The 13,747-nt window shown below is 38.1% G+C and overlaps 1 annotated feature.

Moving 5' to 3' along the window:
• Nucleotides 13,547–13,747: a silencer, noted in NCBI's record as "peak4279 fragment used in MPRA reporter construct". NCBI's record gives its function as "represses an SCP1 promoter by STARR-seq MPRAs in K562 erythroleukemia cells {active_cell/tissue: K562}" and the evidence as "EXISTENCE:reporter gene assay evidence [ECO:0000049][PMID:32103011]".

The following is a 13,747-nucleotide window of genomic DNA, read 5'->3' as shown; positions in this document are numbered from 1 at the left end:
AGAAAAATATCTATAGAAGTTTAGTAAAGATGCAACCATCCTTTTTTTTCTGAATGTTTTCAATCCTTGGTTGAATTCACAGATGCGGAACACAAATACAGAGGGTTGACTGTATTTACAAAACTGTGCGACCATTATCAAAATCTAATTTTAGAAATATTTTTGCAACCCCAAAAAGAAACTCTATGCTGATTAGTAACCTTTCTCCATTCTGCCTCCTTTTACAGACCTAGGCAAATATTACTCTACTTTCTGTCTCTAAAAGTTTGCTTATTCTAGACACTGCATATAAATAAAATTGTACCATATGTACCTTTGGGACTGGGTACTTTTACATAGCATAATATTTTCAAAGTCTATTTATGTGTAGTCTGCATCCATACTTCATTCCTTTTTATTGCCAAATAATATTCCATTATATGGACCTAGCACATTGTAGTCATCCATTCATCAGTTGACAGAGATTTGGGCTATTTTGAATAATGCTGCTGTGCACACTTGTGTACACATTTTTATGTTAACATATGTTTTCACTTCTCTCGACTATATACCTATGCATGGAATGGCTGAGAACTACCAGATTGTTTTCCAAAGTGACATACCACTTTGCATTCCCACCAGCTGTGTATTAGGATACCAATTTCTCCACATCTTTGCCAACACTTGTCATTATCTGTCCCTTTGATTTCAGTTATCTTACAAGTTTTGAAATGACATTTTATTGTAGCTTTAAGATAGTATTTCATTGTTCATATACTTTAGTTAATGGAAATTAACTGATAAACTCTCAGATACCTAACACCACATGTATTCTTTGCCAGCTAGAAATATGAGGCATTCCTACTACTTCTCATTACATACTCAAACTTCTTGGTAATTTTTAAACATATAATAAAACAGATATAAAATCATCCTTGATTTAATCTGGGTTTTGATTACTTTGCAATCTTGGAAATTTTTCATACTTCCATATATATGTAGCTATTTAATAAGGCATTAACTGTAGGAATTCTAATAATTTAAAAGACACTTATATCAGGTAGTAAAGACACAATATTAAAAAGTTCAATTAGGTCTGAGGTTTTATAGACCATGAATTAATGGCATTGGGGGCCCCACAAAGCTAATTAATTTGCTTAAAGTAGTTAAACAAGAATATGGCCAAGTCAAGACTACCTTTAAAATGATTAAAGATGCCAGCGTGACAGGGCAATGTGATTATACAACTAACATGCCCAGAATGCAATTGTTAGGGTGAGGTCATGGTTTTGCCTTGAACTGACAGATTTGGGAACAGAAAATAGGCAAATAAGGGGGCAAGTAAACCTAGTTGAAGATCAATGAGAAAGGTACAACTTCTGCTTCCAGTTAGGCATTTTTATTTAAAAGACATCAATACTATTGGTTAGCATTTTTTAGCAATGCCTTTGAGCCAGACTATGTGTATTAGTCTATTTTCATATTGCTATAAAGAACTGCCTGAGACTAGGTAATTTATAAAGGAAAGAGGTTTAATTGACTTCACAGTTCAGCATGGCTGGGGAGAACTCAGAAAACTGACAATCATGGTGAATGCTGAAGGGGAAGCAAGGCACCCCCTTCACAAGGCGGCAGGAAAGAGAAGTGCCAAGCAAAAGGGGAAGACCCCTTATAAAACCATCAGATTTTGTGAGAACTCATTCACTGTCATGAGAACAGCATGGGGGAAACCACCACCATGATTCAATTACCTCCACCTGGTCACTCCCTTGACACAGGTGCATTATGGGGATTATAATTCAAGATGAGATTGAGTGGGGACACAAAGCTTAACTGTATCACTCTGTTATACATATATTATCTCATATCATCATCATAACTACCACATTATATAGGCATTAGCCCGATTTTACAGATTTGAAGACTACTGAAACTTAGAGGAGTTAAGTAACTTCCCAAAGATCACACAACGAACAAGCAGAAGAACCAGAATTAAAATCTGGATCTTGCTTTCTTGGAGGTTGGGCCTCCCTCCCTGCAGCCAGTGCATATCTGGAGAGCCCCCTCTCCCACTAGGAGATGGACACAGTGATATGCCTAGGATCTTGCTGATCCCCAAACCACTTCAATGATATGAGAGAGAGTGACGGGCTTGAGATCACGGAGTGTGAAGAATAAACTTTGGTCTTTATCTAACACTGGTCTTGCCTCAAGATGAGGAAATCCAACACCCATAAGTTTTTTCACTATGTGTTGGCACTGTGTTAAGAACTTTACATTTAAAAATTTACTAAATCTTTGCCATTAGGTAGGCACTATTAGTATTTCCATTTTAGAGATGAGTAAGTGGAAACTCAGAGGTAAAGTGAAATCTGCAAATTCCCACAGGTACTAACTTAAGTGGCAGAACTATTACTTGGGTGGATACCTGTCTGACTCCTTTACAACCTTACACATTCAGATATCAGTTCAACCCTCACAGGTAATTGGAATGTAAACAAGCATAATGACACATCACATTTTGTGCATACTCAAGTTCCTCCTCTGTAAAGGAAGGATAATAACTTCCAAGCTATAAGAAGTCTTGGGTAAGGTTAAATTACACAATCTAAATCAATGAACACATCAATCAACTACTTTCAGTGATCCTGAAATAAATGTTCTGTTCCTTTTGAATATATGCCATTTCAATCACTCATTCATTCATTAACAAATGTTCATTGAGTGACTCTACGTAAGCAGACTACAATTCACTGTGTTAGTAAATAAAGCCTGTGCAGATGATTGGAAAACTTATATTTCAGTTCCCCTCTCCCTTACCTGAGCAGAGGAGATTAGGCTAAAGAACATTCTCACTTTTTATTAAATAAAAGAATGAATAATATTCTGAAAGCTATGCTTGAGAGACAGTACAGTGTAGAGAAGGGGTGGTGGACAATAAAGTAAGATACTTTCGGCAAGTTATTGAAACTTTCTGTTTTATTTTCCTTATCTGTAATATGTGAATGAAAACGAAGTGCATTGTAGTGGGAATTAATGAGTTAATACATCTGAAGCACTTCGAAGAGTGAGTGACAAAAAGGTAATTGCTCTCTCTGTCACCTATTAGAGCTACTGCCTGGGTTTTAGACCCAGCGCTGCCATTTTCATGACATGTGATCTTGAGCAAGTGACTTCTCTTTTTCGAGTTTCAGTGTCTCTGGCTAAAAACTATATTGATAAACCTTAAAAAGTACTCACTGAGCAATTACTCTTTGCCAGAGATTCTTCTAAGCACTGGAGATAAGGTCACAAATAAGATATACAAGGCCCTTGCCCTGATAAACTTGGCATAATTAGAAAGACAAAATAAGCAATGAGCATATAAACAGTGAACTACTTTCTTATGAAATGTGTACAAACATAACAAATCCAGGATGATGCAGGAGAGAATCAAGGGTTGGGAGTTGGAAGAAACTTTCCATAGGGAAGATCCCTCCTTAACCCCAAGAAATTTTTGTTGAGACAAATGATAAGATGAAGACAGCCATGCAAAAATCTGGGAAAAGACCATTCAACCGGAGGAAACTGCAGGTGCAAAGGACAAGCAAACAGGTATTTTGCTTTGTAAAAAGAAAGCCAAAGTGTGAAGCAAGCTTAAATTTACCTCCTTCTTCTTCCAGTTTCTATTGTATATATTCAAAAAATCTCCAAGCTTTAAGATGTAATTGACAAAATAGTGTGTATATATATATATACCTTTATATATATATATCTTTATATATACCTTTATATATGTATATCTTTATATATATACACACACACACACACACATATACGTGTATATACACAAATATATATATATATATATATATATATTTTTTTTTTTTTTTTTTTTTTTTTTTTTTTTGAGAGAGATTCTCACTCTGTTGCCCAGGCTGGAGTGCAAGTGGTACAATCTCGGCTCACTGCAACCTCCACCTCTCAGGTTCAAGCAATTCTCCTGCCTCAGCCTCCCGAGTAGCTGGGATTACAGGCATGGACTACCACACCCAGCTAATTTTTTTGTATTTTTAGTAGAGACAGGGTTTCACCATGTTGGCCAGGTTAGTTTCGAACTCCTGACCTCAGGTGATTTGTCCACCTTGGCCTCCCAAAGTGCTGGGATTACAGGTGTGAGCCACTGCGCCCAGCCAAATGATTTATATTTATGGTGTACAATGTGATGCTTTGATGTATGTATGCAGTTTGAAAAAATTAATTCAAATGAATAAATATATCTACCACCTCACATACTTATCTTTTTTTGTGGTGAGAACATTAAAGATCTACTGTGTTAGCAACTTTAAAGTTTACAAGATATTATCATTAACTAGCATTACCATGCTGAACAATAGGTCCACAGAACTTGTTCATTCTAACTGTAAGTTTATTTTTCACATTTTAATACTAAAAAAATTATAGCAATTTTGCAGTATTTATTGAAGGTAAAGTGAGACAATGTAAATAAAATATCAATTATGGGATTTGGATATATTAAGTGCTCAGTGTATGTTTTCACCCTCCCCTTAGTTTGGGTTGGTGTTAATAACTCATCGTCCAGCCTAGAAATGGCACATACTACACCTACATTTTACAGAGAACAGGCTGGTATGGTGCTTTTTTTTATTTTGTGAGTACCACTTATTAACATGCTAGGAGGGAAGCTAAATGACTGAAATCTCTTTGTGATTTGTCTTTCCAATCCTGTTCTGATTTAAAGGTTTAATTCCCAACCCTGTCATCATCTCCTTTTTAAAGTTTCTTGCTTAAACTGGCACAAAGTCAAATGCTTCTAAAAAATGAATAGGTACCAGAGAAAATAAAATTAGATGTCAGTGCATTAAACCTTTTTCTCTTCATGGCTGGTCATCACAAAATATCATAAAATCTGTCATAATAAAGGGCAATACCTTATAAATGAGCTGAAGAGGCATAAAAGGATGAAGATAATTTATGTTCAATCAGCCAATGGGATGAGCAAGTTGTTCCTTTGACAATACTCAACTTTTTGTTGTTTATGGACAGGTGAGTGTAACACAGAAAGAGCTCAGGAAGAAAAGCTAAAGAATAGTGAATTAACCATGTATGCAATGATTCCAGATTGACCTGTGACTTAGGAAGAATTAATACTTTATCTTTAGGGTTCAAAAAAGCCATCATCTGGCATTTCTGTTAATCTCTACATTTCAACACCTCTTGAAAAGTCATGGTATTGAATGCTTTCAATTTTAACATCATTTTGCAATGCCTAACAATAGGTAACAATATCTCACTCATGCTTTTATTGTGATTCGTCTGATAATGGCAGTAATAACCACTTATTGAGTGGTAGCCACATGTCAGGAATCTTATGAAAGACCTTCACATTTTTGGCACAGAGAGCAATGACCGCCCACTCTCTTATTTGTTCCCCTGCACCTGCTAACTTGATGACAGTTGGGCAAAGCCACATGACTAGTTCTGGCCAACAGCTGTGATGTGGGTCACATCAGACTAGACAGTGAATATAGGCAGCTCTCCAGTTGCTTTCTTTTTCCCTACGTGCAGGGGACTCTTCAGCTGTGAGAGCCTTAATCAGCCCAAGCCTGTGAGTTATTATATGGGGCAGAAGCTCTGCCAACTGTATTAAACATGAGACATAGTGACAAATAAATCTTTGTTGTCTTAAACCACTAAAGTTTGAACACTCAAATGTTACTGAAGCATAACCCAGCCTGTCCTGACTAATATAATAATATAAGATAATTGAATTCCTCCAAACAGCCTTGAGGAAAGCACTGTGCCAATCTCTTTTACAGAAGAAGAAACTGAGGCACAACCAGTAACTTACTGAGACTTAAACCGTTGTTAAGTGGAGAAGCTTAAAACTGATACCAAATGTGAGGTTATAGAAACTCAATTCCTTGAAAAGTGATAGGATGATATTTATTTCTAGATTGCCGTGGTTCAAATCTGGGAGCAGGCCAGAATTAAGAAATCTCGGATGGATTACTTAACCTCTTTAATCCTCACATTTTCTCAGCTAGAAAATGATGGCAATATTAGCATATGTCTAACCAAGTGTGTTATGAGAAGTAAGTAAGAGTGTTGATAGATGGTAAACGCATAGAATTGTGGTTGGCATATAAAGTTCAATTATTACAGCTTTTGTTAACCATATCTATCAAAGGACCAGAAATAAATCATTTTTCAAAGGAGAACATTCTTATGTGCTGGAATCCCAAGCCTCTATTATGTTACAAATTATGCAACTGAGGCCCCAAAAGTTTACTAAGTTCTTCAAGGCCACAAAACAGAAGAAAACCCAGGCCTCATTTCTTCACAGTCTAATGAGTTTTCCACTTCATTTTTCCCACTCTAATGAGGTCAAAGTAGAGGAAGAAGACAGGGATAAAAATTTTTCATCATTTTCAAACTGATCTGCATACGGTTGGTTTCTTCCTCTTTCCAAAAGTGCTGATGAGCACCTTGCTTATCATCTTAAACAGTGCAGTTTTATGAAATATAGCAGACCAATGGAAAGCTACACTCAAACTAATGAAGGAATTAATTGTTGCTGGCTTGAAGGCAATGCCCTCTTCTCCGTATGTCTTCAGTGTGGCATTTTAACACCCAGAGAGTTTTGCTGGCTATGTTAAGGTAGTGGTAAGGTAGTGGAAGTTCAGCATCCCAAATAATGTAGTCTTCTTTAAGAAAAGACAGAAGGGAGGGAGGGAGGGAGGGAGGGAGGAAGGAAGGAAGGCAGGAAAGGAGGAAAGGAGGCGGCAAGGGCAGGGAAGGGAAGGAAAGGGAAGGGAAGGGAAGGGAAGGGAAGGGAAGGGAAGGGAAGGGAAGGGAAGGGAAGGGAAAGGAGAAAAAGAAGAGAATGAAACCAAGGATGAAAAGAAAGAAAAGAGAGAGAACAATACTACTGTCACTGATGCTCTTCTGTAGTGACAATGTACCTTCTAGTCTGATGTTGGAGACAAATCTCTAACGGCAGCTGTTACATTGCTGTTGTGGGCGTTTAAACACTTCAAAGATACATTAAATCTTTACTATACCTGTAGTTATGTAAGTGACATAAATTAAAGAAAATTTTCTTTGGCAAATACTGTAACACTTGTGAGTTGCCTGCTTCTATTTTTTCTCTTTCCTGGTATTAGCTGCTCAAAAGATTGCAAAGAATTTACTTCATAATATAGCATTTTATTTTACTTTTTTCCCCAAAATTAGTCTACTGCCTGTTTCATCATGTTGACAGCCTGTTTCTCCATGTCTGGGAGCCTTCCCTAAAACTATCATCACACACTATCTGTTTAGATTTATATAAACAAAGAGACAGCTATTAGACACCTGGAATAATGGAAGATTTGAGCTGAACCCTGTTCAATCTCTCATTTTCTTCTTTCAGCTGCTCCCGCAGCTGACATTTACCACTGGTGAAGTTGACATTGTTCGGAGAAAACTTGATTTCAAAACTGATTCCCAAACTATGGTAAAAGCATTACTTGGATCCCTGGTATGTGATAGGGTCTATTTTGAGAAGACATTTGAAAAATGATGAAAAAAGTTCACACTAAATTCACACAAGACTTGAGCCTCATAAAATAGTCAGAATGACAGCTAATCAGTTGTTTAATTGTTAACTTTTCTCCTATGTGTCCTGATATAGTATAAATGCATAGAGTTCCTTGATTCAAACATGTTGATCCATTCACTTACCAGTTATTCACAGAAGCCCTGCCAGATACCAGACACTGAATTAGTCTCTTTAGATTTAAAGTAAGAGAGAGCTACCTGACTTTGTGAAGCCCTCATTCTAGAGAAAGAGAGACTGATAAGGTATAAAACCATAGTTTGTTCATTCAAAAAGTAGTTAATATGATGGCAGGAATCAAATAAGGCAGAGTAATTATAAAATGATAAAAGTTGTTAAGGAAGAGTCAATTAAGGGCTCTGTAAGGAGGAATGTTTGAGTGGAAATCATGAAAAGGATGCATGAAGGGCTCAGGAACACATAGGACCCCTAAGGAACAGGATGGGTTAAGCCCCAGGATAGGGCTATGGGATGGAATCAACAGAATCAGTGATGTGGTTGGCAGTTACACCTATTTCACCTGCTGAGAGCTCCCCGCCTCCTTTAATTTAGCGAGGTATGTGAAATGAGCTCAAGTTGAAATTCAGATTCTGGGTGTTTTGAGAACTGTGGTTTATTTGATAGAGATTACATATTAGGTAAGTTGTTTGCCCATTGTTCATTCATTCAGCAAATATTTCTGAATGTGTACTCTGTCCTAAACTCTATAGTTGTGTCTCTCCAAAAGTGCATGTGTGGCCCCTTATGGGATCTTTAAAAATGCAGATTCTGGACATGCAGAGGAAGGATTAAGGAGCCTAAGTCTCTTTACGTAAAATCTGGGAAATGAAATCTTTGAACAATATGCCTAAAGGTGGTTCTTCTTTACACAGAAGCCTGGGATCCACTGAGCAATAACATATTTTTCGTTCATTTGGGAAGAAGAAGGAATCCATGAAATTAGTGGAGGGATCTGCAGACTGGAGTTTTAAAAGGCACACAGTAAATATTGCATGCATGAACTGGAGTCCAATCATATCTCACCCACCAACTCATCTGTGGTTGTGGGTAAGTTACTTCTGAAATTCAGTTTCCTCAATTTAAAAATGGGGTAATATTGTTACCTATACATTTGTGTGGTTGTATGGCTAAAAGGAAATGATCCATCTTAGCATCTGGCATATAGTAGGCATTCAATAAATGCTTGTTTTTGCCATTTCAATTTTTCCTAGAACTCTCCCTGTTTACGTTCATTGACAGAGTGTTAAAGAGAGATGTTAGAGGAAATATAACACACACACAAATTACATAAGAATATTAGGCTGTAAAAGTTAGGATATAAATAAAGGGAACATTACTGGTAATAAATATAACTCTTCAGTTATCTTAAAAAGTCACTGCTTTAGAGACCCGCCTAAATATATGACTCCACTGTATGGTAATTTCAGGATTTGGGATTCAGAATTTAGCCAAGTCAGTAGCATATAGAGTAAGCTCTTACCATTTATCAAAGCAGTTCAAAACTCTGCCCAAAATAAATAAATATAATTTAACTTTATAATGTAAAAAATCAACCTTATGTTAGTATTTAGTAACTTTCCAAGACTCAGCACATTTTCCATTGCCATCTTACTTGTTTCCTTGATTATTTTATAACCTTAAATTGTCTCTATTTAATAGTAGGTAAATAAAATTGAATTTATAAAAACAAACAGAAAAAAAGTGGCTAGAAACGCCATAGGGTCATTTCACAAACCTGAGTTACATAATTGGTCTTCAAAATCTCTCCATATAACCATCTGGAAACATGTGTCTAACACCATACAAAATCATAGCCGTCTTTCATCCATGGTGCGGAAGGAGCAGGGAAAAAGGAGAGGTGCACCCCCAGATGAGCACCACCTTCTCCTGTCTCACCCAGATCAGATAAGACCATCTCCATTTTAAAGCTAACACCACTCAAATCCATAGTTTACTAAACTACCACAGGATTATTTAAAATCCCCATATGGCCATCCCATTGCCTAGCATAATACGATTTAACAATGATAGCAAATAACTTATGAGCATGCACGGGAACTCAAAAAGGCAAATGGAAATGTGGTAGGACTCAAAGCTGCAGCTTCAGATTGGCACTGTTACTTCCACCCACATACCTTTGGCCAAGAAAGTCATGTGGCTAAGCCCACTGGGAAAGAAAAAAATGCTTTGTGCCCACTGCCTTAAATGTGGCTCTGATAGAAGCCACCTGATAAGCTTCTCCACACCAAGCTGGCACCACCACTTCAAAAGTGCCTCAGCCAGGCATTAACAATACTGTGAGGTATAAATTTTCCAAGCAGACTCCAATTCTCATATAATGGAACTATTAAAAGGCAAGCAGGGTAACCCAAGCAAAGAGGCTGAAGTAAAATATGCCAACCACCTGTCAGGCTAAAGAACATGGCAAGAGAAGGAAGGGTCTGCAGCCAGCAGGGTATCAAGCAGGTTATGACATCCATAGAGTGCCATTGGGAAGGCCGCCCAAGTCAAGTTCAAGAAGTCACTGGCAGAAGACTTCTGCATCAGATTCCAGAAGATTATACAATAGTCAGAGGCCACCAGCCTAAGGCTGTCAGACGTTGGCTGGCACACAACCAAGAAGAGTTCAGCTACTTCTTCACTTAATTTGTCAAGTACACACACGTTCCCACTCTCTAAACCTGTATAAAATCTTAGAGCAAGAAGCCAGAAGAGGCTGAGGTTAATTAAGAGATGAAGTGATCTGAGCCAAACAAAAGTTTATTTGCTAAATAGGCCATTTAAATATTCATATAAAATTATACACTTCGTTTTGGGGATTTGGACAGACAGAAAATCAGTTATAAAGAAAACAAATTAGGTATATTTCCCACTAAAAAGCCTAGTTGTGGTGTGAAAGAATTTGGTTGTCTTACAACTAATGAATTATTCTGTTAATATCTTACATTATTTCTGTGATAAGTACTCTTATAATTAATATAATTTGTATATGAGGAAGCGAGGTGTAGGGTTAAGCATCTGCCAGAGTGTTTGGTTACAAAGAACAGAATTCATTCAAGATGGTTAGGCAGAAAAAAAACTAACACATGGAAGAGAATTTTTGGAAGACCATGAGGAATAGGCTCTTAGCTAAACTTCCAAGAGAAACTAACAGAACCACACATCATGCTACCCTTTCTGCGATCAGAAAGCTGCTTCTCCCACTCCCAATCACAGAATCCCACAGCCTCTTCAATCTTCCAGATCACCAAAGTGAATACTGCATGCCCTGATTATTTTCTCGTGGAATTAATATCCAAAATCAAATTTCTCAGAGTTTGATTGGTGAGCCTAAATCATAAATAAATTCCTTAACAATAAGAAAAGATATATGTATATTGTACATTGTAAAGGCAGGAATTGCACTGCGGGAAATTATTAAAATGTGGAATCCTCAAAAATTATGATTACCCACAATGAAAAATGCTCATGACTGTAACTTGCCTCCGACTGTAATGTTTCCACCTAGGGATTTCAACAATACAGCCCGTGAGCAGGTTTCACTATGATCGGACGCTGACAACCCTTGTAGCCATGGCTCATATCTGCCCCTGTCTACAGGAAAGTGGCCGTTTTCCCATAAGCCATGCTTATGGTAATACTAGGAATGCCTTCTTGCTTTTGGTAATATTAGGAATGCCTCACTACCACCTCCCACACCAAACATGGATTTTTTTTTTTTTTTTTTTTGCCTAAAGTTTGTGCAACCTTTAGGGTTCATGTCTTCCAGGAAAGTTCACCTCCTTCAGGAAGGGTTAAGTGTTCTATCTTTCTGTGTTTATTTTCTTTTCCTTTTTTTTTTAATACTTTAAGTTCTGAAATACGTGCACAGAACATGCAGGTTTGTTACATAGGTAAACACATGCCATGGTGGTTTGCTGTACCCATCAACCTGTCATCTACATTAGGTATTTCTCCTGATGCTAACCCTCCCCTAACCCCCCCATCCCCCAACAGGCCCCAGTGTGTGATGTTCTCCTCCCTGTGTCCGTGAACACATCTTTCTGTGTTTCTTTTTTTTTTTTTTTTTTTTTTTTTTTGAGACAGAGTCTTGCTTTGTCGCCTAGGCTGGAGTGCAGTAGCATGATCTCGGCTCACTGCAAGCTCTGCCTCCCGGGTTCATGTCATTCTCCTGCCTCAGCTTCCCGAGTACCTGGGACTACAGGTGCCCGCCACCTTGCCCGGCTAATTTTTTGTATTTTTAGTAGAGACAGGGTTTCACCATGTTGGCCAGGATGGTCTCGATCTCCTGACCTCGTGATCCGCCCACCTCGATCTCCCAAAGTGCTGGGATTACAGGCGTGAGCCACCGCGACCAGCCATCTTTCTGTGTTTCTATAATGTGGTTAAGTATATTCTGTCACTTCCCTTCTGGGTTATTTTCTAATAATGTGTGTGTGCGTGTGTGTGTGTGTGTGTGTGTGTGTGTGTGTGTGTGTGTGTGTGTTCCAAATGCAGATTGAGATCTTTGAGGAAAAAGGGTAATGCATTTCTTTAAAATTATTTTTATTCTCAAATCTGATTCTAGTGTTTGACATATGATGCTACCCAATCAATATTACTGAAAGAACTATATGGAACTTCAATATTGCTTCTGAACATGGTTTGAAAACATCAGGCTAGGAAGGAATTATAGAGGTCTTTGGGAGGTGATTAGGTCATGAGGACTCCACTCTCATAAATGGGATTAGTGCCTTTATAAAAGAGGCTGGAGGAAGCCATTCTGTCCTTCTCCCATGTGAGAATTCGGTGAGAAGCCATCACCGTTCAAGCAGAGAAGGAGCCCTCACCAGACACCAAGTCTGCTGGTGCCTCAATCTTGGACTTCTACACTCCCATAATGGTGAGCAATACATTTCTGTTGTTTGTAAATATTACCCAGCCTAAGGTATTTTGTTATAGCAGTCCTAAACCCAAATGGACAAACATGTTCACTCTACCAAAATAAAACATGTCTCAGGTGAAGAAACTAAGACACAGACATTATTTCATTTAGTCGCTGTGGAATGGACCTGTAGGCAGTAGGGACAAATACTTAATCTTTCAATAAACAGCCTCTTCCATAATCCTGGCTACATTCACATGATTAATTTGTGGACCTTCGCATTTTCAGAAGATGTCTTCCCCTGTGTGTGTGTGTGTTTCACTCCACATGCTTTTCCTACAACATGACTGGCTCTCCTCCAACCAAGGATCAGGATAGCTGTTTCTTTCTCTTGAATTTTCTCAGGTGCATGTTACTGCTCTGTCCAATAGAGCATGATACAAATGATGCTATGGAACTTCCGAGGCTAGGTCATATTGTGGACCTAGCTCTCTCTCGCTGACATACTACTTTGGAACCCAGCCACTGAATTGTGGAAGCCCCAGATTAGACCCTGGAAACCCTAGCTGAAGTTTCAGCCAAGAACTAGCACCAGACACCAGAAGTGTGGGTGAGCACGCCTTTGGACAATTCCAGCCCCTAGTTGATACTAAGTGGAGCAGAGACACATTCCAGCACTGAGCCTTACTGAAATTGCAGGCTCATGAGCAAAATAAATGCCATTTATTACATGGCCAAAATAACATAGGAATTCTACTCATATCAACATTACCTCACTTTATCCAAAATGAATGGTTATCAGAACCCAAAAAGGAGTTGTGACATAATTAAAGGGATCTGAAGACATCATCTTATTAATGCCCTAAAGTTACTTGATTCCAAGCTCCAAGTTACTCACGTTCTTAGATTGATTTAATTGTTCCTCCCTTCCCCATAAAGTTTACATACTGCTATTATAGCAACAATCACCTTGTATCCTCTGTGGCAGTTGCATTTCTGTTTATTCCCACCGGAATATACTCTTCAAGGATAACAAGTAAAATTTTCATTCTACGCCATCAAGCATAAGGCTTAGAATATAAGGGCACGAACTGCTGAGTCACTTACAAAATACGGGTAGTCCTAAAGCTGAAATCTCTTCACCAGAGCAGAAGATTTGAGGAGTGCGGTTCTGAAAAGAATATGCTGAAGGGTCAGAAACAGGTGGGTCGAATCCCAGTTTTTCATCTTGGCAGCTATGTGGCCTCAATAATGCAATTTAAGCCTTATATGCCCCAGTTTAATCATCTGTTAAATGGGGTTAG

This window comes from Homo sapiens, chromosome 20 (assembly GCF_000001405.40).
Source record: "Homo sapiens chromosome 20, GRCh38.p14 Primary Assembly".
NCBI lineage: Eukaryota > Metazoa > Chordata > Mammalia > Primates > Hominidae > Homo > Homo sapiens.
Note: the sequence above shows the minus strand (reverse complement) of the source record. Positions and strands in the feature narration are given on the sequence as shown.